Source organism: Homo sapiens, chromosome X, assembly GCF_000001405.40.
Source record: "Homo sapiens chromosome X, GRCh38.p14 Primary Assembly".
In the NCBI taxonomy this organism is placed as follows: Eukaryota; Metazoa; Chordata; class Mammalia; order Primates; family Hominidae; genus Homo; species Homo sapiens.
This window is the reverse complement of record NC_000023.11, coordinates 84104938-84130959: the sequence shown is the minus strand read 5'-3', so window position 1 is coordinate 84130959 and position 26022 is coordinate 84104938. Positions and strand designations below refer to the sequence as shown.

At 36.0% G+C, this 26022-nt stretch overlaps 1 protein-coding gene across 10 annotated transcripts in view; it reads left to right on the top strand.

Annotated features, from left to right (window-relative positions):
• Positions 1-26022, top strand: part of RPS6KA6 (ribosomal protein S6 kinase A6) — a 130154-nt gene that overhangs the window by 57540 nt on the left and 46592 nt on the right. For all 10 annotated transcript variants that reach the window (XM_047441997.1, XM_011530919.3, XM_017029425.2 and 7 more), the window contains 8 exons: positions 10933-11075; positions 13506-13576; positions 13812-13900; positions 14673-14731; positions 23235-23337; positions 23920-24050; positions 24473-24595; positions 25084-25173. In XM_047441997.1, the coding sequence (XP_047297953.1) occupies positions 10933-11075; positions 13506-13576; positions 13812-13900; positions 14673-14731; positions 23235-23337; positions 23920-24050; positions 24473-24595; positions 25084-25173 (809 nt within the window). The remainder of the gene's footprint in view (positions 1-10932; positions 11076-13505; positions 13577-13811; positions 13901-14672; positions 14732-23234; positions 23338-23919; positions 24051-24472; positions 24596-25083; positions 25174-26022) is intronic.

Genomic DNA, 26022 nt, shown 5'->3' with positions numbered 1-26022 from the left:
TCTGTAAGTTTTGACAAATGCGTACAGCCTTGTAACTATCACCAAAATAAAAATATGAAACAGTTCCATAACCCTCCTCCCCCAAATTCTCCCCTTATAAGTCAGTCCTCCCTTTACCCCAAGCCAACTACCAGTCTGCTTTCTGTTCCTGTATATATGCTTTTTCCATAATGTAATTATGAACAGAGGCATACAGTATACAGCCTTTTGAGACTGGCTTCATTTAATTAGCATAGGGCATTTGAGATTCATCCATATTGTTGGCTGTATCAGTGAGTGTTTTTTTAAATTGCTAAGTAGTGTTTCATTTTATGGTGGTACCATGATTTGTTTATCCATTCCTCAATGAGGAGGCATTTGAGTTATTTCCTGCTTTGGGCAATGATGAATAAAGCCACTGTAAAACTTCATGTATAGGTTTTCTTTTTACCATAAATTTTTATTTCAGTTAAGTAAATACATAAGGAGTGAGATTAGTTGATCATATGTTGAGTATATTTAACTAAGTGAGAAAACTTCAAACTGATTTCCAAAGTGGTTGTAATATTTTGTATACCCACCCACAATGTCCAGTGGATCTGTATCCTCACTAGCATTTTGTATTGTTAGTATTTTTTATTTTAGCTATTCTAATAGGCATTAGGTAGAATTATCATGGTTTTATTTTGTATTTTTCTAATAACTAATGACACTAAGCACATTTTCATATATTTATTTCTTTGAGAAGTGTCTATTCAGATCTTTTGCCCATTAAAAAATTGGATTGTTTGTTTGGTTTTCAGCCTAGAATGTTTTATATTTTTTAAAATTTAAATTTAAATTTTGTGGGTACATACGTGTATATATTTATGTGTTGTATGAGATATTTTGATACAGGCATGCAATGCCTAATAATCACATCAGGGTAAATGGGGTATATACATCACCTCAAGCATTTATCCTTTATATTACAAACAATCCAATCATATGCATTTAGTTATTTAAAAATGTATAATTAAATTATTTTTGACTATACTCACCCTGTTGTGCTAGCTAATATTAAGTCTTATTTATTCTAACTATTTTTTGCACCCATTATCCATCCCTCATCCCCTAAGTCCCTTCCCCCGTACCCTTCCCAGCCACTAGTAACCATCCTTCTACTCTATTTCCATGAGTTCAATTATTTTAATTTTCATCTCCCATAAATAAGTGAGAACATAAGTTTATTTTTCTGTGCCTGGCTTATTTCAGTTAACACAGTGACCTCCAGTTCCACTCACAATGCAGATGACAGGTTCTTACTCTTTTTTATGGATGAATAGTACTCTGTTGTGTATAAGTGCCACATTTTCTTTATCCATTTGTCTGTCAATGGGCATTTAGATTGCTTTCTTATCTTGGTTATTAAAAACAGTGCTGCAGCAAACATGGGAGTACAGATATCTCTTCATTGTACTGATTTCCTTTCTTTTAGGTTTGTACCCAGCAGTGGGATTAATGGATCATATGGTAGCTCTGTTTTTAGTTTTTTTTGAGGAACCTCCAAACTGTTCTCCATAGTGGTTGTGCTGATTTACATTCTCACCAACAGCGTATGAGGTTTCCTTTTTCTCTCCATCCTTGGCAGCATTTTTTTATTGCCTGACTTTTGAATAAAGGCCTCATTTTAGGGAGAAATTATATCTCATTGTAGTTTTGATTTGCATTTCTCTGGTGATCAATGATGTTGAGCACCTTTTCATATGCCTGTTTGCCATTTGTATGCTTTCTTTTGAGGATTTTTTATTCAGATCTTGTGCTCATTTTTTAATTGGATTATTAGACTTTTTCCTGTAGAGTTGTTTGAGCTCCTTATGTATTCTTGTTACTAATCCCTTGTCAGATGGGCAGTTTGCAAATATTTTCCCTTATTCTGTGAATTGTCTCTTCATGTTATTGATTGTTTCCTTTGCCGTGCAGAAGCTTTTTAACTTGATGTGATCCAGTTTGTCCATATTTGCTTTGATCACCTGTGCTTGTGGGCTATTACTTAAGAAATCTTTGCCCAGTCCAATATGCTGGCAAGTTTATCCAATGTTTTCTTGTAGTAGTTTTATTGTTCAAGGTCTCAGATGTAAATTTTTAATCCATTTTGTTTTTATTTTTGTATATAGCAAGAGCTAGAGATGTAGTTTCATTCATCTGTATATGCATATCCAGTTTTCCTAGCACCATTTATTGAACACACCGTCCTTTACCCAATGTATGTTCTTGGCACCTTGTCAAAAAGGAATTTACTGTAGATACATGGATTTATCTCTGGGTTCTCTATTCTGTTCCCTGTTCTATGTTTCTGTTTTTATGACAGTACCATGTTACTATAGCTTTGTAGTATAATTTGAAGTTAGATAATGTGATTCCTCCAGTTTTGTTCTTTTTGTGTAGGTAGCTTTATCTATACTGGGTATTTTGTGGATCCATATAAATTTTAGGACTTTTTTTTCTATTTCTGTGTAGAATCTCATTCTACTTTGAAAGGTATTGTGTTTAATCTGTAGATTGCTTTGGGTAGTATGGACAATTTTAACAATATTGACTCTTTCAATTCATGAACTTGGAATATCTTTCCATTTTTTGTGTGTCTTTCTCAATTTCTTGCCTCATTTTAGTACATTCCTTTTTACATGTCTTTAATTTCTTTTTATCAGTGTTTTGTAGTTTCATTGTAGAGATATTTTACTTCTTGGTTAATTACTATGTATTTGATTTTATTTTTAGCTATTGTAAGTGGCATCACTTTCTGGATTTCATTTTCAGATTGTTCTCTGTCGGCCTGTAGAAATGCTACTGATTTTTGTGTGTTCATTTTGTATCCTGCAACTTTGCTGAGTTTGTCAGTTCTAATAGTTTCTTGGAGGAGTCTTTAGGTTTTTCCAAATGTAAGATAATACCATCAGTAAAAAAGGATAATTTGACTTCTTCCTTTCTCACTTGGATGCCCTTTTTCTTTCTCTTGTCTGATTGCTCTGGTTAGGACTTGCAGTACTATGTTGATTAACAGTAGTGAAAGCAGGCATCCTCATTGTGTTCCAGGTCTCAGGGGAAAGGATGACAGTTTTTCCCAATTCAGTATGATACTAACTGTGGGTGTGTCATATATGGCTTTGATTATGTTGAAGCATGTTCCTTCTATACCCAATTTTCTGAGGGTTTTTTTTTTTATCATGAAGAGATGTTGAGTTTCATTGGGTGCTTTTTCAACATCAGTTGAAATCATCATGTGGTTTTTGTCCTTCTTTTTGTTGGTATGATGTGTCATATTAAGTGATTTGCATATGGTGAACCATCCTTGCATACCTGGGACAAATCTCACTTGGTCATGATGAACAGTCTTTTTAATGTATTATTGAATTCAATTTGCTAGTATCTTGTTGAGGATTTTTGCATTATTATTCATCAGAGATATTGGCCTGTAGTTTTTTGTTGTCTTATCTTTGTCTGGTTTGGGTATCAGGGTAATACTTGCCTCATAGAATGACTTTGGGAGTATTCCCTCCTGCTCTATTTTTTGGAATATTATGAACAGGATTGGTATTAATTCTTCTTTAAATGTTTGGAGGAGTGTAGCACTGAAGCCATCAGGCCCTGGGCAGTTCATTACTGGGAGACTTTTTATTATGATGTTGATCTTACTAATTGTTATTGGCCTCTTCAGGTTTTGGATTTCTTGGTAGGTTTTACGTGACAAGGAATTTGTCCATTTTCTCTAGATTTTCCCATTTATTGGCATGTAGTTGCTCATAGTAGCCACTAATGACCCTTTGAATTTCTGTGGTATCAGTCGTAATATTTCCTTTTTCATCTCTAATTTTAATTATTGGGGTCTTCTCCCTGTTTTTCTTTGATAGTCTGGCTAATGGTTTATCAATTTTGTTTGTTTTTTCAAAAAGCAAGTTTTTATTTCATTGGTCTTTTATATTATTTTCCTCATTTAAAATTCATTTATTTCTGCTCTGATATTTATTACTTCTTTTCTCCGACTAATTTGGGTTCAATTCACTTGCTTCTCTAGTTCTTTAAGATACATCATAAAGTTATTTGAATTTTTTTTTGATGTAAGCACTTTCAGCTATAAATTTCCATCTTAGTACTGCTTTCACTGTATTCCATAGGATTTTTTATGTTGTATTTCTATTATCATTAATTTCAAGAAATTTTTAAATTTCTTTCTTAATTTTTTTATTGACTCTCTGGTCATTCAGGAACATATTGTTTTATTTCTATGTGTTTATATAGTTTACAAAATTCCTCTTGTTGTTGACGTCTAGTTGTATTCAGTTGTGATCACAGAAGATGCTTGATATTATTTCAGATTTTTGAATATATTAAGACTTGTTTTGTGATCTAACATATGGTCTATTCTTGAGAATGATCCATGTGCTGAGGAGAAGAATGTGTATTCTGCAGCCTTTGGATGAAATGTTCTGTAAGTATCTATTAGGTCCACTTTTTCTATGGTGCAGATTAAGTTCGATATTTCATTGTTGAGTTTTCTGTCTGGGAGATCTGTCCAATGCTGAAAGTGGGGTGTTGAAGTCACCGGCTGTTACTGTATTGAGTTCTATATCCCTCTTTATCTCTAATAATATTTGCTCTGTATATATGGTTGCTCCAGTTTTGGGTCCACAGATATTTATAATTTTTCTATCTTCTTGCAGGATTGACCCCTTTATCATTATATAATGACCTCCATTTCCCTTCTTATAATTTTTGCCTTCAAATCTATTTTGTATGATATAACTACTCCTGCTCCTTTGTGGTTTCCATTGGCATGGAATATCTTTTCCCATTTCTTTATTTTCAGTCTGTATGTATCTTTATGGGTGAAGTGTGTTTCCTGTAGGCAACAGATCATTGTTTCTTGTTTTTTCATGGTTCATCCAGTCTGTGTATTTTGATTGTTTAGTCCATTTACATAAAATGTTATTATTAATAAATCGGGACTTACTCATGCCATTTTTTTAGTTGTTTTCTGGTCTTCTCTTCCTTGTTTTCTTCCTCCCTGCCCTCCTTTTACTGAAGGTGATTTTCTGTGGTGCTGTGATTTAGTTTCTTTCTCTTTATTTATTTATTTATGTATTTTTTGAGATGGAGTCTTGCTCTGTCGCCCAGGCTGGAGTGAAGTGGTGCAATCTTGGCTCACTGCAAGCTCCACCTCCCGGGTTCACGCCATTCTCCTGCCTCAGCCTCCCAAGTAGCTGGGACTACAGGCACCTGCCACCACACCTGGCTAATTTTTTGGTATTTTTAGTAGAGACAGGTTTCACCGTGTTAGCCAGGATGGTCTCAATCTCTTGAACTTGTGATCTGCCCGCCTCGGCCTCCCAAAGTGCTGTGATTACAGGCATGATCCACCACACCCAGCCTTTTTCTCTTTATTTTTTGCATATCTGTTGTATGTTTTTCGGTTTGAGAATACCATGAGGCTTGCCAATATGATCTAATACCTCTTATTTTAAACTGATGAAAACTTAACACTGATTGTCCAAACAAACATGCAAAAAAACCTGATAAAAACACTACACTTTGAATTCATCCCCCCACTTTTCAAGTTTTCATTGCTTCTCTTTATGTCTTATTGTACTATGTTTTGAAAAGTTTTTGTAGTTATTATTTGATTGGTTCATCATTTAGTCTTTCTACTTAAGAGGAATTTATACCCCACAATGACAGCATAATAATATTCCCTGCATTTTTCTTTATGCTTACTATTATAGTGAGTTTTGTACTTTCAGATGATTTCTTCTTGCTTATTACATACTTTTCTTTCAGATTGAAGAACTCCCTTTAGCATTTCTTATAAGACAGGTCTGGTGTTGATGAAATCTCTCAGTTATTGTTTGTCTGGGAAGATCTTTATTTCTCCATCATGCATGAAAAATATGTTTTGCCAGTTATAATAGTATAAAGTAATTTTTTTTCAGCACTTTAAATATGTCATGCCACTCTCTCCTAACCTGTAAAGTTTCCACTGAAAAGTATGCTGCCAGGTGTATTGGGGCTCCATTATGTCATTTGTTTATTTTCTCTTGCTGCTTTTAGGATACTTTATCAATGAACTTTTGGAGTTTGATTATTAAATGCCTTGAGGTAGTCTTCTTTGGTTTAAATCTGTTGGATGTTCTATAACTTTCTTGCACTTGTATGTTTATTTCTTTCTCTAGGTTTGGGGAGTTCTCTGATATTATCCCTTTGAATACACTTCTTATCCGTCTTTCTCTGTCTACTTTCTATTCAAGTCCAGTAGCTCTTAGACTTGCCCCTCTTTGGCTGTTTTCTAGATCTTGTAGCCATGCTTTATTCTTTTTTTTTTTTAATTTTGTCTCCTCTGTGTATTTTCAAATAGCTTGTCTTCAAGCTCACAAATTATTTTCACTCCTTGATCAGTTCTTCTATTAAGAGACTGTCATGCATTCTTTGATATGTCAAGTTGCATTTTTCAACTCTAGAATTTCTACTTGATTCTTTTTAATTATTTTAATCTCTTTATTAAAGTTATCTGATAGAATTATAAATTCCTTCTCTTCGTTATCTTTAGTTTCGTTGAGTTTCCTCAACAGAGCTATTTTGAATTATCTATCTGAAAGCCTGCATATCTATCTGTTTCTCCAGAATTGGTTCCTGGTTCCTTATTTAGTTCATTTGGTGAGGTCATGTTTTCCTGGATGGTCTTGCTGCTTGTAGATGCTTGGGAGTGTATGGGCATTGATGAGTTAGATTTTTAATTTGGTCTTGGACTCCGGGCTTGTTTGTACCTGTCCTTCTTGAGAAGACTGTACAGGTATTCGCTGGGAGTTGAACCCCAAGCCCAATAATGCTGTGGTTTTATAGGCTCCTAGAGGTACCCCATTGGTGGCCTTGGATAAATTCTGGAAGAATTCTCTGTATTACCAGTCAGAGAACCTCATTCTTTTCCATTATTTTCTCCCAAACAAATGGAGTCTATCTCTGTGCTGAGCCACCTGGAATGGGGATGTGGTTATGCAATCACCCCTATGGCCGCCACCACACAGACTGCATTGAATCAAACCGGAAGCCAGCACAACACTGGGTCTCGACCTTGGCTCACTATAACTACTACCTGGGTAAAACCTATTTTCACTCAAGGCCATAGTGCTCTACAGTCAGCAGATGTTAAGGCCAAACAGGTTTGTGTCCTTCCTTTCAGGGCAATGAGTTCCCCCAGGCCCCGGGCAGGACCAGGCATGCTGTCTGGGAGCCAAGGATTAGAGTCAAATACCTTAGAAATTTACCTGAAGTTCTATTCTACTGCAGCTAAGCTGGCACTCAGACCATAATCCAGAATCTTTGTTGCACTTCCCTCCCCTCTCCACAGGGAGAAGGGCCTCTCCCTATAGCCATCAGCACCAGCAGCCCATAGCAGGGGTTCTGCCAGGCCACTGGCAATGTTCACTTAAAGCCCAGTGGCTCTTCAGTCAACAAGTGGTGAATGCTGCCAGGCTGGGAACTCGTTCTTCAGAGCACTGGGCTCCCATATGCCCCAGGGCAGATCCAGAAATTATATCCAAGAGCCTAGGCTCAGACTCAAGAGACCTCAAGAGCCTGCTTATTGGCCTACCCCACTGTGGCTGAGCTGGTACCTAAGGTGCATTACCTTTCTGTCTGCTTTTCTCAAACAGAAGGAATCTTTTTCTGTAGCTACCACAGCTCTCAATTTGTTGGATCACACCTGAAGCCAGCATTTCTCAGAGCCCAAGGCCCATGGTGTACTACCTGGGTATATTGCTGCTGGTGGTTGTTCATGGCCCAAGAGCTCGTTAATCAGCAGGCAATGAATCCTGCCAGGACTGGGTTCTTCTCTTCAAGACAGTGGGTTTCCTTTTGGCCCAGGATGTGTCTAGAAATACCATCCATGAGCTAGGGCCTGGAATGGGAACCTCACAACTCTGCCCAGTGTCCTGTCCTACTATGGCTGAGCTGATATCTAAGATGCAAGACAAAGTCCTCTTTACTTTTTGTTCCTTCCTCCTTAAGCAGAAGGAAGGAGTCACTTTTGTTGCTGTGCTGTCTGGGGTTGGGGGAATGGTGGCACAAGTACTCCCTTAGCCACCCTGGCTGGTATCTCCCTAGGTCACATGCCACCCTAGTCCACTGGCTCTAATTCCAGTTCAACACTAGTAGTTGCCTAGGAATTGCAGGGTTTGCATCTTAGACTGCCTTTTAAGTTTACCTAGGACCCCAGAGCACTTTGGCCCAAGATGGCGAGGCTTGCTGAGGAGTTCAAATTTAGACCACTGGGACAGGCAATTCCCTTCTGTCTAGTTCTTGTCCAAAAGCTTCCTCTGGCCGGGTGCAGTGGCTCATGCCTATAAACCCAGCACTTTGGGAGACCGAGGTGGATGGATCATCTGAGGTCAGGAGTTCGAGACCAGCCTGACCAACATGGTGAAACCCTGCCTCTACTAAAAGCACGAAAAAAATTAGCTGCCCGTGGTGGCGGGCGCCTGTAATCCTAGCTACTCAGGAGGCTGAGGCAGGAGAATCACTTGAACCCGAGAGGCGGAGGTTGCAGTGAGCAAGACTCTGTCTCAAAAAAAAAAAAAAAAAAAAAAAAAACTTAAAAAAAATAACAAAAGCTTCCTCCATATGTGGGTGCTGGCTGAGGCCAGCATGACTTTGCTGTCTGCTGTAACAGGGCAGCACTGAATTCAATGTAAAGCCCCCCAGTTGCTGAGCTTTCCCTCCCCTATCTGCAAAGACTCTCCTCACTGCATGGCTGCTGCTGGGGCATGGGGAAGGGGTGTCATCAGTGATTCATGACTGTCTCTTCTACCCTCTTCAGTGCCTCTTTCAGCAATATGAAGTTAAAACTAAGTACTGTGATTACTCACCCGATTTTTGATTCTTGTGATGGTGCTTTTCTGTGTGCAGAGAGTTGTTAAACTTTGGTGTTCCTGCAGAAGCTACAAATGGTATAGGCTTCTATTTTGCCATCTTGCTCCATCGTTTCCTCCTGTAGCTTCTTTTTCATTTTCTTAATACCATTTTCTGAAGAACAGTTTTGTTTATTTTGATGATGTCCAGTTTGTCATTATTTTTCTTTTATGGATTATACTTTTGATGTATCTAAGAAATCCTTGTCTAACCCAAGATCACAAAGAATTTCTATTTTCTTTTTTGTAAATTTTATAGTTTTAGGTTTTACATGGTTTACGATCCATTTTGAGTTAATTATTTATGGTATGAGGATGAATTTTTCTATATCTCTATCCTACTTGTTCTGGTACCATTTGTTGAAAAGACTGCTTTTTCTCCATGGAATTGCTTTTGCACCTTTGCAAGAAATTAAGTGACAATATAGAGCCAGTTCTGTTACAGTGTGACATATGTGATCTAAATCACTGCAGTATGCATAAATCCATAGTATATAAACCACAGAACTTATGGGGAAAAGGAGGCAAGGGGCATAACTTTAAAATGTTTGATCAGTGATACACAAAAGAAAAGAAAGTAAAAAGGGTAGCATTGTTCTGTATGTTCTAAATGATTAAGAAATACATAAAGACTGCAATAAATACAGTTCCTTACCTTGAAAAAGACCCGAAGTTTGCTTGTGGAAGTGGGTGTCAGAAAAGTTACAGTTTGTAAGTTATAATGATGTAGTGGAAGTTAGATTATCTGGAATTGGAAGGAAAATTTTAACGCTAGAGGTGGACAGGAGTGGCTCATAACAAATACAGTGAATTAGCTGGTAGATGTTTGAGGTGTGTGCATATGTGCATTTTATGTATTTCTACTTTCCTAAGCTCAGCTGATTCAGTTTTCTGTGCTCATGTAACGCTTCCTGCAGACAAAATCACTGATAAGCCAGTGTGAAATTCACGTTATACTTAGATTGTTTGCTAAGATATCAATTGCATTAGAACAAATTTGCATTTTCAAAAGAAGCATTATAGCAGAATTAACTGTATATGTCAGTCTATCATTGTACACTCTTCTGTTCCATTGATATATATGTCCAACCTTTTTCCGGTACCCCACTATCTTGATTACCGTAGCTTTATAGTAAGTGTTGAAGTCAGGTGTAGTGTAAGTCCAACTGTTTTCTTCCTTTTCAAAATTGTTTGGACTATTTTATTTTCTTGACTTTTTTATACAAATTGTAGAATCAGCTTATTGATTTCTACAAAAGAAATTTTGCTGGGATTTTATTGAAGTTTCATTGAATTGGTATATCAGTTTGGGGAGAATTGATACCTTAACAACATTAAATCGTCCAATTCATGAACATGGTATAACTTCCCATTTATTTAGGTCTACTTTGATTTCTTTCATCAGTGTTTCCAGTTTTCAGCATATAATTCTTGCATATATATTTTATAGCTGTAGATGTATATTTATACCTGTAGATTTCATGTTTGATATTTTTGGTGGTATTATAAATGGTACTTTTTAAATTTCGTCTTCCAGTTGTTCATTAGTAATACCAAGAAATAAGATTGATTTTTATTATTGACATCTTTAGCTCCTTGAAGGCTTTGAACAAAAATGGAAGCTCACCAAAGCCAAAGCAAAATTTGCTTTTTTAATATTTTAAAAAGTATAAGTTACTATTTCTGTTTTGTCTTAGTCTATTTTAAAACTTAGATCAATACGGCAGCTTTGATTTAATTGTTGTTCCCTCACATTTTTTGCACTATATTCTAGTGTAGACCTGAAAGCATGTATTTTGAGGATGAGATTTCATGGAAGGATCTTTAAATGACCTTAAAGAGTATTGTTATGAAATACAGGCTGCTTTCTCTTATTGATCTCACAGGAACTTTCTTAAGAGTAACTGTAGGCCATCCATAAATAATTGTAATGTTTAATACATTATTTTGTTTCTTTTGACGTTTTCTATTTTCTGAAGTTTTTCAGACACATTTTTTGGTAATACTGTTATTATAGATTTTGGACTCAGCAAGGAGTCAGTAGATCAAGAAAAGAAGGCTTACTCATTTTGTGGTACAGTAGAGTATATGGCTCCTGAAGTAGTAAATAGGAGAGGCCATTCCCAGAGTGCTGATTGGTGGTCATATGGTGTTCTTATGGTAAGTAGCATTATTTGTTTTAATTATGCCAACCTGTGATTGATATTACTTATAATTTTATTTTAATTCAAATTTTGGGATTTAGCAGGTCAGAAAGGGGTTCTGATAATTTATAATTAACACCAAAAACCTTGTGATTGGCTAGCTGTTACACAATAAAAATTAAGATTTTGGTGTTCTGATTTATTTTAAAGTTGCTAGTAAAAAGGTAAATGACAGCATTGTTATTATAAACTATTCATATTTGATACTTATGAAAAGGTCTGTCAGATTCTATATTTCAGAATGATGAGTTTATCAGTTACATGGTATTTTAATTGAATGTTACAGAACTTAGCACCTTACCATATAGTGTCTTATTGTCAGATTGTTCCATGTATTCCCTAGAAAGGTTATAAACCTGTTGAGCAGAGGAATCATGTCTTATACTACTTTTCATCTCCCATAGTATCAAGCATAGTGAGCATTTCAGTAGATGCTTAATACAGACTGACTAATTTGGTATGAGATTAAGCATAGAATTTGCAGTAGTCAGTAGGATGATAGATAAATAGCTGTTGAATTAGATATAATTTGCTTTGGAGGTCTGATCCATTTTGTCCATTTATCACTGAGTAGCACATCAAATGACACATCAGCATGTTAAGTGTCTCTTATAAGCCTGACATATTAGGAGGCCTGTGGGGTAGGAACTGATTCTAAGTAAAATATTTGGTCTTTTTCAATTGGAGTAGCTAAATAAACTCTCAAGAAGTACCTTAGGAGTTCAGGGAAGATTTAATGTAAGCTGATGTAGGCAAACTGAAAGAGTTGGAACTTAAATTAAGCCCTGAAGGATGGATAAAATTTAAATAGTTGTGTGTCAAGAAGGAGAGTTATTGTGATCATATTAGCAAAGACTTGGAGAACCAGTTTGACTAGAGAAGTGGAGAAAGAGGGCAAAGGTGGAGGAAGTGAAGCTATAAACCTATAAGCATTTATACATGATTCTCTGGGTAGGAGGAAACTTTTAGATTCTTAAACAGGCTGGAAATTAGAGAAAATTGTATTTTAGGAGGATTAGCCTTGTAAGTGGATTGTAATGGAAGAAACTAGAAATAGGAAGACAAAAGAGATCTTTAAAGACAATTGTAAGATTATAGAGATTTCAAAGTAAGCAGTTGTTAACCTTGGTAGCAAATTAGATGACACAGATCAAAAAGAAATGAATTGTCAAAGATAAAAATGCCTATAAAATTTGTGAGCTTTAGGGGGTTCAAAGAATGGTAAGTTAATAGAAGAGATAGCTGAAGAGGACAGCTGGTTTTGGAAGTGGGAAAAAATAATTTTTAACATGTAGCATAGGTTACTGTAGGTTAATGACTCACCACTGGGTGGTGATAAACTAGGAGGGGTAGTGGAGAGAGAATCAGAATCATTTGGAGACCTTAATACGTATATATTAACTACCCAACGTGTAGTTTCTTTGAGGGAAGATGTGAGTCCTATATACGATCCTTCCTTCATTCTCTCCCTGAAGTTCTCACCTCTACTCCTCCAGTCTTTGGTGGCGTACCATTACTTAAGATTTGGGAAGGAAAGCTGGAGTTTGAGAGAGATTAAGCCTTGAACAGCAGATTTTGGGAGACATTAAGATACAGAAGAGACTTGAATGTATAAGCTCACTTAGATTGTGAGTTCAGATAAATGAGTAGAAGACTAAGGCCAAAGCCATTATTGAATCTAAGTTTGAGATTTAAATACTGGTGATACAAAAACTTCTCTTTAATGTACCGTAATGATTTTTAGAGGTAGTCTTTTTTTATACCATTATTTAATGTTCTAGTTAGTCACATTGCAGTCAGTTCTCTTTGAGAAAATGTTTTCCTTCTTCTGTGTACAACTAAGGTGTATGTTTCTTTTTTAAAGCTATTGGCATGTGTGTGTGTGGCAGGGGGTGGTGGTGGTGGTGTGTTCTGCTGCTTCTACTTCTTTTTTGGCTCCTGTTTTGGGGGCAGTGGAGGGAATGAGAATGGTTAAATCTTTCTTGGGCATGTATGAATTTGAAATGCTTTTCTGCTTATTTTTCCTTTTCCTTTATTATTAAACATTCTCTTCAAAAGAGTATATTTGTTTTAACAGAAAATGCATTGTGTGTATTTTCAAATTGCTTTGGCTTTGAGAACATAGCCGAATTAGAACTGAGGAAGAATTGGTTGGTTTCATCTGCTACAGGTCACCATCAGTTGAGCTATATATATAGAGAGAGAGAGTGGGATACCAGAAGTATATTTCTTTAAGTGACCTAGTTTTCTGGTCCCATTTTGATCTACTATCATGTAGATCTTACAATTTGATGATTATATAGAAGTCTCAGTTTTTTTCTAGAGAATCTTATTATATATTCTAAGGTGTTCTAATTGTGTGGTGTGTTTTGTTTGTTTGTTTTAGTTTGAAATGCTTACTGGTACTCTGCCATTTCAAGGTAAAGACAGAAATGAGACCATGAATATGATATTAAAGTAAGTGTAAACAGTATGTTTTTCTTTTGGGAAAAAAATCTCTTGCTTTCAGTTTTGAAAAAATTATTGCGGTTTTAAAATAATACAAGAGTACCTTTTTCTCACTGTCTTGTTCCCTTCTACCATATACAGGACTGTACCCTTGTAAAAGCACTTTTAAAAGTTCTTTTTGAGATTTTTCAAATCAAAAATGTGGCTAAATTTAAGTGAAACTTTCTAAAATCCTCTGTTTCAGAGCAAAACTTGGAATGCCTCAATTTCTTAGTGCTGAAGCACAAAGTCTTCTAAGGATGTTATTCAAAAGGAATCCAGCAAATAGATTGGGTATTGCTTATTTTCTTAGCTTTTATAGAAGTAACTGCATGTTTTGGGAGGATAATTAAATCTTTATGTTTTCTTGTTTGATTTGAGCACATTACTTCTATACGTAGAATTTTTCATTTTGTGTGTGCATTTCAGACAAAGTAAACTCTGTTATGTCCATGATTTAAAACTGAAGTAGTCTAGTTAATGAAAGCTTCTGTTCAACCTATTATTATGTATATATTATGGGTTACTTCTTTTGAAATAATAAACAGATTCTCCCTTGTACAGGTAATCTTTTATATATTTGAAGATAGATATTTTGCCCCCCCCCAATATTCTTCAAAGTAAATATTATGTTTCTGTAACTACTTTTTTGACCCCTTTCTGGTAGCCTTTCCCTGTATCCAGATGCGATCCTATTATTTATGCCCTTGTGTGAAAATTTCAGTGTCACTTTATTCCTTTGTACCTTTCAATTTGGCATATAAATATGAGGTCATAAGATAAATTAGGAATGAAAAAATATGTATTTAAGTTTAAGTATTATGTTTAATACTATTTGATTTGATTTGGGAGACACTTTATTGTAGTTCAATATGAATGTTAGTTATTTTTTATCACAGTAAAATGAAAGGACCAGCTAATAAAATGCCAGATAAGAAATCATGTATTTTTCTTTTCAAGGAATGTATGAAATATGTGTATTCCTGTTTACAGATAGCAGTCTGGAAGCCAGGGAGCAAGACTAAAAAAAATCATAAAAATAAAATATCATTTCTTTTTTTTATAGGATCAGAAGGAGTTGAAGAAATCAAAAGACATCTGTTTTTTGCAAATATTGACTGGGATGTAAGTTAAGTAGAAAGCTTGTTATTGAATAACTTCATATGACCAACACAGGATATTAAAGATTTATTGCTTTTAATCTAAATAACAAATCAGTGGAATATTTACATACATATTTATTTTTCTTTTTCTTAAAAAAATAATTTAGATCTGGGGGTGCATTTGTGGGTTTTTTCCGTGGATGTATTGCATAATGGTGGGTTTGGATTTCTAATGTACCCATCAACCAAACAGTGACCAGTAGGTAATTTTTCAACCCTCAATTCCCTTTTAACTTCTCCCCTTTTGGAGTCCTCGGTGTCTATTATTTCCATCTGTATGTCCATGTGTATCCATTGTGTAGCTCCCACTTATAAGTGAGAACATGGGATATTTGATTTTCTGAGTTATTTCACATAGGATAATAATCTCCACCTCCATCCATGTTGCTGCAAAGATAATGATTTTATTCTTTCTTATGGCTGCATAGTATTCCATGGTGTCTATATACCTATTTTCTTTATCCAATTAACCATTGATGGACACTTAGATTGATTCCATGACTTTGCTATTGTGAACAGTGCTGTGATAGACATACAAGTGCAGGTGTCCTTTTTATATAATGATTTATTTTCCTTTAGGTACATACCTATTAGTGGGATTGCTGGGTCAAATTTTTTTGATTATTAGTTCTTTGAGAAATCTTCATATGGTTTTTCATAAAGGTTGTACTAATTTACATTCCCATTAACAGTGTATAAGTGTACCTGTTTTCTCCCACATCCATGCCAACATCTGTTATTTTCTAACTTTTTAATAAAAGCCCTCCTGACTGATATAAAATCATATTTCATTGTGGTTTTAATTTGCATTTTTCTGATGATTAGTGATATTGAGCATTTTTCCATGTTTGTTGGCTGCTTGTATGTCTTCTTTTGTAAAATGCGTGTTCATATCCTTTGCCCACCTTTTAATAGGTTTGTTTGTTTGTTTGTTTACCTGTTGAGTTGTTTGAGTACCTTGCAGATCTCGATATTAGTCTTTTGTCAGAGGCATAGTTTGCAAATATTTTATCCCATTCTGTAGGTCATCTTTTTACTCTATTGATTATTTATTTGGCTGTGCAGGAAATTAATTAAGTCCAATTTGTCTACTTTTGTTTTTGTTGCATTTGCTTTTGGGATCTTAGTCATAAATTCTTTGTATAGATCAATGTCCAGAAGAGTTTTGCCTAGGTTTTCTTCTAGGACCTTTGTAGTTTCACATCTTATGTTTAAGTCTTCAAACAATCTTGTGTTAATTATTGTAAACAGTGAGAGATAGGGGTCCAGTTTTATTCTTCTTCATGTGGCTAGGCAATTTTCCCAATACCATGTGTTGAATAGAGTGTTCTCTCCTCATTGTTTATTGTTGTAGATTTTGTAGAAAATCAGATGGCTATAGGTATGCAGCTTTATTTCTGGGTTCTCTGTTTTGTTCCATTGATCTATGTGTCTATTTTTGTACAAGTACTCTGCTGTTTTAGTTACTATAGCCTTGTAGTATAATTTGAAATTAGGAAATGTGATGCGTCTGGCTTTGTTAATTTTACTTAGGGTTGCTTTGGCTATTTAGGCTGTTTTTTGGTTCTGTGTAAACATTAGGATTGTTATTTCTAATTCTCTGAAGGATGGCATTCATAGTTTGATAGGAATTGTATTGAATGTGGATATTGCTTTGGTCAGTATGTTTTTTTTTGTTGTTGTTTTGTTTGTTTGTTTGTTTTTTGACAGCGTCTCTCTCTGTCACCCAGGCTGGAATGCAGTGGCACAATCACAGCTCACTGCAGCTTTGACCTCCTAGACTTAAGCAATCCTCCCACTTCAGCCTCCTGAGCAGCTGGGGATACAGGTGTATGCCACCGTGTCTGGCTAATTTAAATTTTTTTGGTAAAGATGAGGTCTCGGTATGTTGACTAGGATGGTCTGGAACTTCTGGGTTCAAGCGATTCTCCTGCCTCAGCCTCCCAAAGTGCTGAGATTACAGGCGTGAACCACTGTGCCTGGACTGGTATGGTCATTTTAATGATATTGATTCTTTCAATTCATGAGCATGAGATGTTTCTCCATTTGTCCATTTGATCTAGTTTCTTTCATCTGTGTTTTATAGTTCTCCTTGTAGAACTCTTTCACATTCTTGGTTAAATGTATTTGTAGGTATTTTACTTTTTGCGGCTGTTGTTAATGAGATTGTTAATTAGAACTTTCATTTGGTTTTCAGTTAGAACATCACTGTTGTATAGAAAAGCTACTGATTTTTGTATGTTGATTTTATTTTTTTAAACATTACTGAATTTGTTTATCAAGTCTAGGAGTCTGTTGGAGGAGTCTTTTCTGTTTTCTCAGTATCATATTATATCATCAATCAATAGAGGTACTTTGACTTCCTCTTTTCCAATTTGGATGTATTTTATTTCTTTTTCTTGCTTGATTGCTCTGGCTAGGACTTTCCAGTACTGTGTTGACTAGGAATGGTAAAAGTGGACATCCTTGACCTGTTTCAGTTCTTGAAAGGAATGCTTTCAACTTTCCTGCATTTGGTATGATGTTGGAGTATGTTCCTTCTATGCCTATTATATGGAGGGTTTTTATCATCAAGTGATGTTGAATTGTCTCGAATGCTTTTTCCGCATCTATTGAGATGATCACATGATTTGTGTTTATAATTTTGTTTATGTGGTGATTTACATTTATTGATTAGTAAATGTTGATCCATCCTTTCATCCCTAGAATAAAATCCACTTGATCATGATTAACTATTTTTTGCATGTGCTGTTGGATTTGGTTTGCTAGTATTTCGTTGAGGATTTTTGCATCTATATTCATCAGGGATATTGGCTGGCAGTTTTCTTTTTTGGTTGTGTCCTTACCTGATTTTGCTCTCAGGATGATACCGGTTTTGTAGAATTAATTAGGAAGGATTCCCAACTCCTCAATTTTTGGGAACAGTTTTAGTAAGATTGGCACCAGCTCTTCTTTGCATGTCTGGAAAAACTTGTTTCTAGACCTGTGTGGTCCTGGCTTTTTTTGATGGAACATTTTTTTATTACTGGCTCAGTTTCACTGTTCCTTTGGTCTGTTTGTGTTTTCTGTTTCATCCTGGTTCAATCTTGGGAGACTGTATGTTTCCAGGAATTTATCCATCATCTAGCTTTTCTAGTTTGTGTGTATATACATGTTCATAGTAATCACTGATCATATTTTATATATATTTCCGTGGTATTCATTGCAATGTGTGCCCTTTTCAATTTCTGATTGTACTTGTTAGAATCTTCTCTCTTTTCTTCTTGGTTAAACCATCTAGAGGTCTATCAACTTTGTTTATTATTTCAAAGAACCAGCTTCTCATTTTGTTGATCCTTTTTTTGGTCGCAATCTCATTTTATTCAGCGAAATGAGACTTAGTTATTTTTTGTCTTCTGCTAGCTTTGGGTTTGGTTTTTCTTGTTATTCTACTTTCGTGTAGTTTGACAATAGGTCATTGATTTGAGATCTTTCTGTGTTTTTGATTTAGGCATTTAACACTAAAAACTTTCCTCTTAGCACTGCTTTAGCTGTGTCTCAGACGTTTTGTTATGTTCTGTCTCTATTTTCATTCATTTCAATTTTTTTATTCCTGCCTTGATTTTGTTGTTCACCCAAAAGTCATTCATGAGCAACTTGTTTCATTTCCATGTACTTGTGTAGCTTTGAGAGTTCCCCTTGGTATTGATTTCTAATTTTATTCTACTGTGGTCCAATAGGATACTTGATGTGATTTTGATTTTCTTGAAAGTATTGAAATTTGCTTTATGGTCAAGCATATGTTCAGTTTTGGAGAGTGTTACATGGGCGGTGGAGAAAAATGTATATGCTGTAGTTGTTGATTAGAATATTCTGTAAACATCCATTTGGTCTAGAGTCCAGTTTAAGTCCAGAGTTTCTTTGTTGACATTTGCCTTGATGACCTGTCTAGTGTTGTCACTTGGTATTGAAGTCCCCCACTATTATTGTATTGCCATCAATCTCTTTTCTTAGGTCTATTAGTAGTTGTTTTTGAATCTGAGCGCTCTGGTGTTGGATGAATATATATTTAGGATAATTAAATCTTTTGGTTTAATTGAGCCCTTATCATTATATAATGCCTTTCTTTGCCTTTTCTTACTGTTGCTGGTTTAAAGTCTGTTTTATCTGATATGAGAATGGCTACTTCGGCTTTGTTGTGTTTTTTATTTGCATGCTATATCTTTTTCCACCCCTTTACTTTAAGTCTGTAGATGTGCTTAGCTATTCTGTGGGTCTCTTTTTGGCAGCAGATGGTTGGTTTTTGTCTGTTACCCAACTTGCTGGTCTACGTATTTTGGATGGAACATTTAGGCATTTATGTTGAAGGTTATATTGATATATGAGGTTTTAATCCTGTCATAATTTGCTAGCTAGTTGCCTTGGATTCTCAATTGTATGATTGTTTTATAGGATCTTTGAGCTTTCTACTTATGTGTGCCTTTATGATGGTGAGTGACATACTTTTGTTTCCATCTTTAGAACGTCTTTGAGCATTTTTTATGGGGCCTGTTTAATGGTGATAAGTTCCTCTCGTGTTTTCTTTTCGGTTAATGACTTTATGTCTTCTTCATTTTATGAAGCTTATTTTGGCTGGATATAAAATTCTTGGATGGCACTTTTTAAAGGAAGCTAAAATTAGGTCCCCATTCTCTTCTGGCTTGTTAAAATTTCTGCTGAGAAGTCCACTGTCAGTCTGATGAGATTTCCTTTATTGGTGATTTGATGCTTTTCTCTAGCTTCTTTTATGATTTATTCTTTCACATTGAACTTGGATAGTCTGGCGACTATATCCCTCGGTCATGTTTGTATTCTGTAGTGTCTTCTAGGTGTTCTCTGAATTGCTTATATCTGGATATCTACGTCTCTAACAAGATTGGGGATATTTTCCTGAATTAGTTCCTCAATTATGCTTTCCAAACTTCTTTTCTTTTTTCTTTCTGCCTATAAGTTGCAAGTTTGGTCACTTTACATTATCCCATATTTCTCAAAGACTTTGTTCATTTTTTAAAAATTATTTATTCTTTAATTTTATCTGATTTAATTCAAAAGACCAGCCCTCATGCTCAAAATTATTTCTTATGCATGGTCTAGTATGTTATTAAAGTTTTCAATTCTGTTTTGAAATTCCTTTCATCTTTTTTTCACTTCCAGAATTTAAATATATATATATATATATATTTATTTATCTTTTATCTCCTGAATTGTTTTCTGATTTCTTTGTGTTTGTTTGTATGTGTTTGACTTTATTTTGGATTTCATTGAGCTTCCTTACAATCCATATTCTGAATGTTTTATCTGTCATTTCAAAGTTTTCATTTGATTAAGATTCATTGCTAGGTAGGTACTGTGACGTTTTGGGGATGTCATTACATTCTTTTTCTTCGTAGTCCTGAAGTTCTTATGTTGGTTCCTTCTTATCTGTAGAAGCTGTCACATATTACTTTTGAATTTATTTTCATGTGGACGTGGTTCACCCCCTGCCGCCGCCCCTCTTGGGGGGTGTGACTGTAGAGTAGGTTGGGAAGTAGCCAGAAGTCTTTTGGCTTTGTTTCTATAGGCCTGTGCACTTCTTAGTCAGGTTTTTATGTTGGGTTTTACAGTTCAATCTATAGGGCAGTAGGTGGCATTTACCAGTACAAGCCAGCTGTGGCAAAAGCAGATCGGTATGCACTTGATATTTGTTTATTGTGTGGTGCTCTATGTTGTTTCAGATGATGGGCTGGACAGTGGAATGCCAGGTTCCCTGACCTTTTTGTCCCATGAGGGGTGAGGGGAAAGGGAGCTAGGCAGAGCTTGATTGTCTGGCTTGCACACAAATACCCCAATGATGAACTGGGGAGCCAGCCCTGACAGGCATGGTTGGGGGAGTACCTGGTGAGCAGTGCCAAGGTCTCAGCAGAGAGTAGGAAGACTAGCTTCACATCCTAGACAGGTAGCAATATGTTCTATTTATCTATCACACCCCTGACTCAGAGCTCATGGCTCTCAGTTCAGATCCACAACTGCCGTGTATCTCCAGACCGCAGTATAGCTGATAGCCACAGAAGACACTTGTCTATGGGAGTTGTTTCTGGGTGGAACCTCCTGAATCAGTCCAATACACACAGCTTTGTGACTCACCTGTTTGCCAATGGGTAATGCTTCTGCTTTCTGTAGATATCACAGAGGGGCTCCACTTTTTAGCACACACAGTTGGGTATTAGCTGTGGCAGTATCGTCTGGTTGGGTCCCTCTGAGCTCAGACCCCAGGTTGAGGCATGGTCATGTACTAGCAGTGGTAGACAGGACTAGGCAAACTTCCAATTCCTTATCCCCCAGAATGCCCAGGAGACAGCATGTATGAGTCCTGTAAGAAGTGGACCAGGACCAGGCCAGTGGACTTGTTAAGTCTCTAGACTCCTGCTGCTGGCTATGATAGGGAGTGATGGGCTGGTTCTTGGAGTCACAGGCAGAACTCTCAAGCAGAGGCAGGGAGAGTACTCTGGAAGTGGGAGTCCTAGGGTACATCATGTGCCTGTGGAGGCTGGGATCTCAGAAGGGCCTACAAAACACTTAGGCAGTTGCAGAATGCTCAGGCAGTTGGTGCATCAATGCATATTGCAGACCTGTGGGGCTGGGCTCTCGGGAGCGCCCACAGAATGCTCAGAATATAGCAAAACACTCAGGTGATTGGGTCCCTATGGCTGATCACAGGCCTGTGGGAGCTGGTCTCTTAAAAGGGCCCACAGGATTCTCAGATTATCACAGAACGCTCTGGTGGTGGGATTCCCATGGCTGATCACATGCTTTGGGGTCTGGGCTCTCAGAATGGCCTGCAGAATGCTTATGTGGTCGAAGTCCCAAGGCCCATCACAGGCCTATGGGGGGCTAGGCTCTCAGAAGGCCTCCAGGTAACAGGTGAAATAGTTGGGAGCAGGGCCGCTGGGCTGCTGGCCTTTCACTGGGGAAGGCAGACCCCTTCAGCTGAAGCAATGAAGGTTGGCAGCTATGGGGTGCTTGGCCCACCTGCACTTCCCTCCTGAAGGAGCAGCAGTGGATTTCACTTTGGTGGGCACACAAAGGTGCCCAGTTTCCCCACTGTCTCCTTGGCCCAGGAGTGGCAAGTGTGATGGTGGTGTTGGGCGCAGCTATTGAGGGAGCTGAAGAGCGGGTCACGAGCCTCTGGGGGCTGGGCTCTAAGAAGAACACCAGGCTGTGGCCAGTATATACATGTAAGGGCAGGGCAGCTGTGCTGTAGACCCAACACTGAAGAAGGGAGGCCTCATTTAGAAGGGAACAGCTGAGACCGGCAGTCTTTGCAGCGTGCATTCTGCTCACTCCTCTGTACTGCAGCTGCAGTATCTGTCTTTGAGGTGTGCACAAGTACCAGCCTCCCTGCTCCCTGCCTAGTGAGGTGGCAGCAGCCGGCGCCAGGCTGCTCAGGGATCAAAAGTCCATGGGATTCCACATGGGCTTGAGCAGTACCTCTGCACAGATTCCAGGCAGCTCCGTGTATTAAACTGGAGGCCTAGGGGATTCAAGGGGGTTTACCTATGGTTAGCATTGAAAGTCTGTGGCAGAATTGTGGAATCCTGGGGGTCTCTCACTCAATCTTCCCTTCCCTGCATCGAAGATCTCCTGGCTCCACACCAGTCTCAGTTCACCTGACGGCATGGCTTTGTTCTCTTCTTTCTGTGATTCCCAATTCCATCACTTCTCTGATGAATTCTAGTGTGGCCTCTTAGAAAATCTACTTGAAGTGTCAATATTTATTGCTATTTTGATTCCTCACCATGAGAGAGGCATCCACTAGCCCACTAGCTGTTTCTAGTAAGCCATAATGAACTAAAAGTCATGTTTACATATTTAAATACATAAAAATTACTCAAAAGTAATTCCCTATTTATTTTTCCCCACTGTGGGACTGTAAGCTTTTTAAAAAATAGATTTCAAAAGAAGTGGCTTTTATATATTATTAGAAATTTTCTATGCCTTTCAAAAGCATAGATTTTAGCAAGATAGATTGTTAGACGACTAAATTTTCAATTATCTGATACAAGCCTAAACAGTACATTTAACGTATATTTTTTATGTGAAAACAATATTTTAGATGAAATATGCACTTTTTAAAAATAATTATTGATTTTGAAAGCCTTGAGCATTTTAGTTATTACTGTGCTGTATTTGCATGGTTATATTATCAATGAGCATTCAAAAACTTCTGATATCCAAAATTGAGCATTCCTTGTGAATTCAGCTTGTGGCATCATTGCTATGTTTCTTGGCCTCATTACATCTTGAACATTATCTCTCAAAATTTTAGAATTTGGTTAACAGTTATCTGAAACTATGAAATTGTTAGTCTTCTATTATGGACTGTGAATATTATGTTCTGCTTTGTTTTACAAAGTATAATAATTTTTAAAGTCTTAATACGTTTTGTGTTATCTGGTTGTCCCTTCTAGAAATTATATAAAAGAGAAGTTCAACCTCCTTTCAAACCTGCTTCTGGAAAACCAGATGATACTTTTTGTTTTGATCCTGAATTTACTGCAAAAACACCTAAAGGTAATGCATGTTTATCTGTAAAATCAGAGATTTTATTTAAGTAGATAGTTTAAAAATAAACTTTCTTGTGAAGTAAAAACTAAAAGAATGGTAAATTTGCAGAGAGTTGATTTGTCCATGGGAAATATGGATCCTATACAAAACATTGCTTGGGCAGCTGTCAAGTAGATGTTTTAAATGGGAAATATTTATCAGGAAGGAAGGAACTTGGTCAAAGGGTGGCAAGTTTATTTCTTTGTTTTATAAGTCCTTTGGCATGCTAATGATTTACAGGATGGGGTAGGAGGTAAGACGTGAGATATATTACTCTGTCTTTTACAGTTTCATACATACACTCAAGAAATATTGAATACCTACTATGTACTAAGCAATGAGGATGCAGTGGTGAAAAGAACAGACAAAAAATACTGACTAAAATGGAGCATGTATACAGATGGGAGGAGACAGATAATATATAATAAATCAAATATATAATATGTTAGTAGCATTTAATGGTTTCCTTTATAGTTAAAGAAATTCTGACACTTTATATCATAGAATTCTGTGTGTAGTTATAATTAAATGTAATTATTTGGACATTAGATTCTCCCGGTTTGCCAGCCAGTGCAAATGCTCATCAGCTCTTCAAAGGATTCAGCTTTGTTGCAACTTCTATTGCAGAAGAATATAAAATCACTCCTATCACAAGTGCAAATGTATTACCAATTGTTCAGGTAAATTCCACTTAATCACATTATTCAGTTTTGGGATAATTATTTCTCTGTTATTGCTGATGTATTTTTAATCGTTTTTTTTAAAGTGATTTTTAACTTCTTTGTTTATCTATTGGTATAAATCATGAATTAAATATGTCCCTGTGTGTTTTGGAAAAGAGCAGACAGTGGTAACTTTTAATTATATTTATGTGGCCTCTTTTGAATAAAATAGAAGGGTGATGTATAAGCTAGTTGCTTTATTATGTTGCCTGTGGGTATCAAGAAAGGATTGGTTCACGCCATTTATAAATGTCGATAAAACTTCTGTAGAATGAATTATTCTAGTTTAAGGCTTAAGATGAATGTATATTTAGGACAAAAGACAGAAAATGTGAAAATATTTCATTCTCCTTAGTATTTTACTTTTTAAAAATAAACAGATAAATGGAAATGCTGCACAATTTGGTGAAGTATATGAATTGAAGGAGGATATTGGTGTTGGCTCCTACTCTGTTTGCAAGCGATGCATACATGCAACTACCAACATGGAATTTGCAGTGAAGGTATTGTCTCTGAGCCTAGCTTTCTTGTTTGTTTTATGCATGTAATTTAAATTATGAGTCAACTGACAAACATTTTCAGTGGAGTAAATGAAGATAGGAAAGATAAGATGATGAGAAAGAACTCTGAGACTTAATATTTTCATTTTTGAATTTCTTTTCAAGCCTTTGTTATGTAGGAACAGTGTATTTCATGAATTTTTGCATTTGAATAATTTTGTTATACATGTATTATGTTAAGATTGAGCAGTTGTGATAATTACAATCACGTCATCATTGGTACAATTTCAGTGAAATAGGATATAATGTTAAAATTTTATTTTTTTCTGTTAAGTTTTTTACTTATGTTTTTAAATGTTAAAATAATATGAGGTAAGTATTGTTCTTGAGTTTTTAAGCATTTCTTCAAAAATATAACCAAATGGAAAATACTCATTTTAGACAAAATAATTTGTTTGCCTCAGATATTTTTCTTTTTTCGTATTTCTTAGATCATTGACAAAAGTAAGCGAGACCCTTCAGAAGAGATTGAAATATTGATGCGCTATGGACAACATCCCAACATTATTACTTTGAAGGATGTAGGTATTTCTAAATCTAGGTATCAGCTAAGCTAATGAAGTTATGAATTGGAACTTTATTTTTCTTATTGAAACTTTTAATGTCTTTAGCATATTTATTTTCATGCCTCAAAAATCTCAGGACTCTTAAATTGCCACTTTAATTCTTTTTTTTCCCATGATTCTATACTTCTAGTCTTATAGAATATCAAAAATAACTATGATGATTGGTAAATGAGAATTTCCTCATTACATGAATATATTCTGGCTGGTTAACTAGTTAACATTGTAGCTAACACCAATTATTATTCTGTAGTGCTATCAATACAGAAGATACAGGAGACTGGGGATCTGCCAAATTCTTGAATATTTTACTTTCTTGATTGTATAGTAATTGGCTATAGCATTATGGATTGTTTCTGGAGTGAAATAGTCTTAGTCTATAGTTTTGTAAAATGAATGTATAACTCATTAATATGTTACTGAATGCTCACTTTTCACATAAGGAGATAATGTTCTTTTCTCTTTATACAAGACAGAAAAGTCAACTATCACCTTGATCAATTTGTGTCAGAAAATGATATGCACTTTGATTTGTAATCTTTAAACTACTGTGGTGTGTGTGTGTGTGTGTTTATCATACATGCCCTGAGTGAAAAGTGTATAAATACTTTTCTTATTTGTTTTCCTTGGTATACTATTGGAATTCAACCAGTATTTAAGATACCAAATCAGATAATGAACTGAGGGAAGGGTATAAAAAATAAATAATGTATTTACTTTCAGAAAGAAGCTTACGTTTGGGGAAGAGAAGTAGCTATAATACAGTAAAAAAATTGAGATAGAGGTCATTTGAGAGGCACAGAGTTC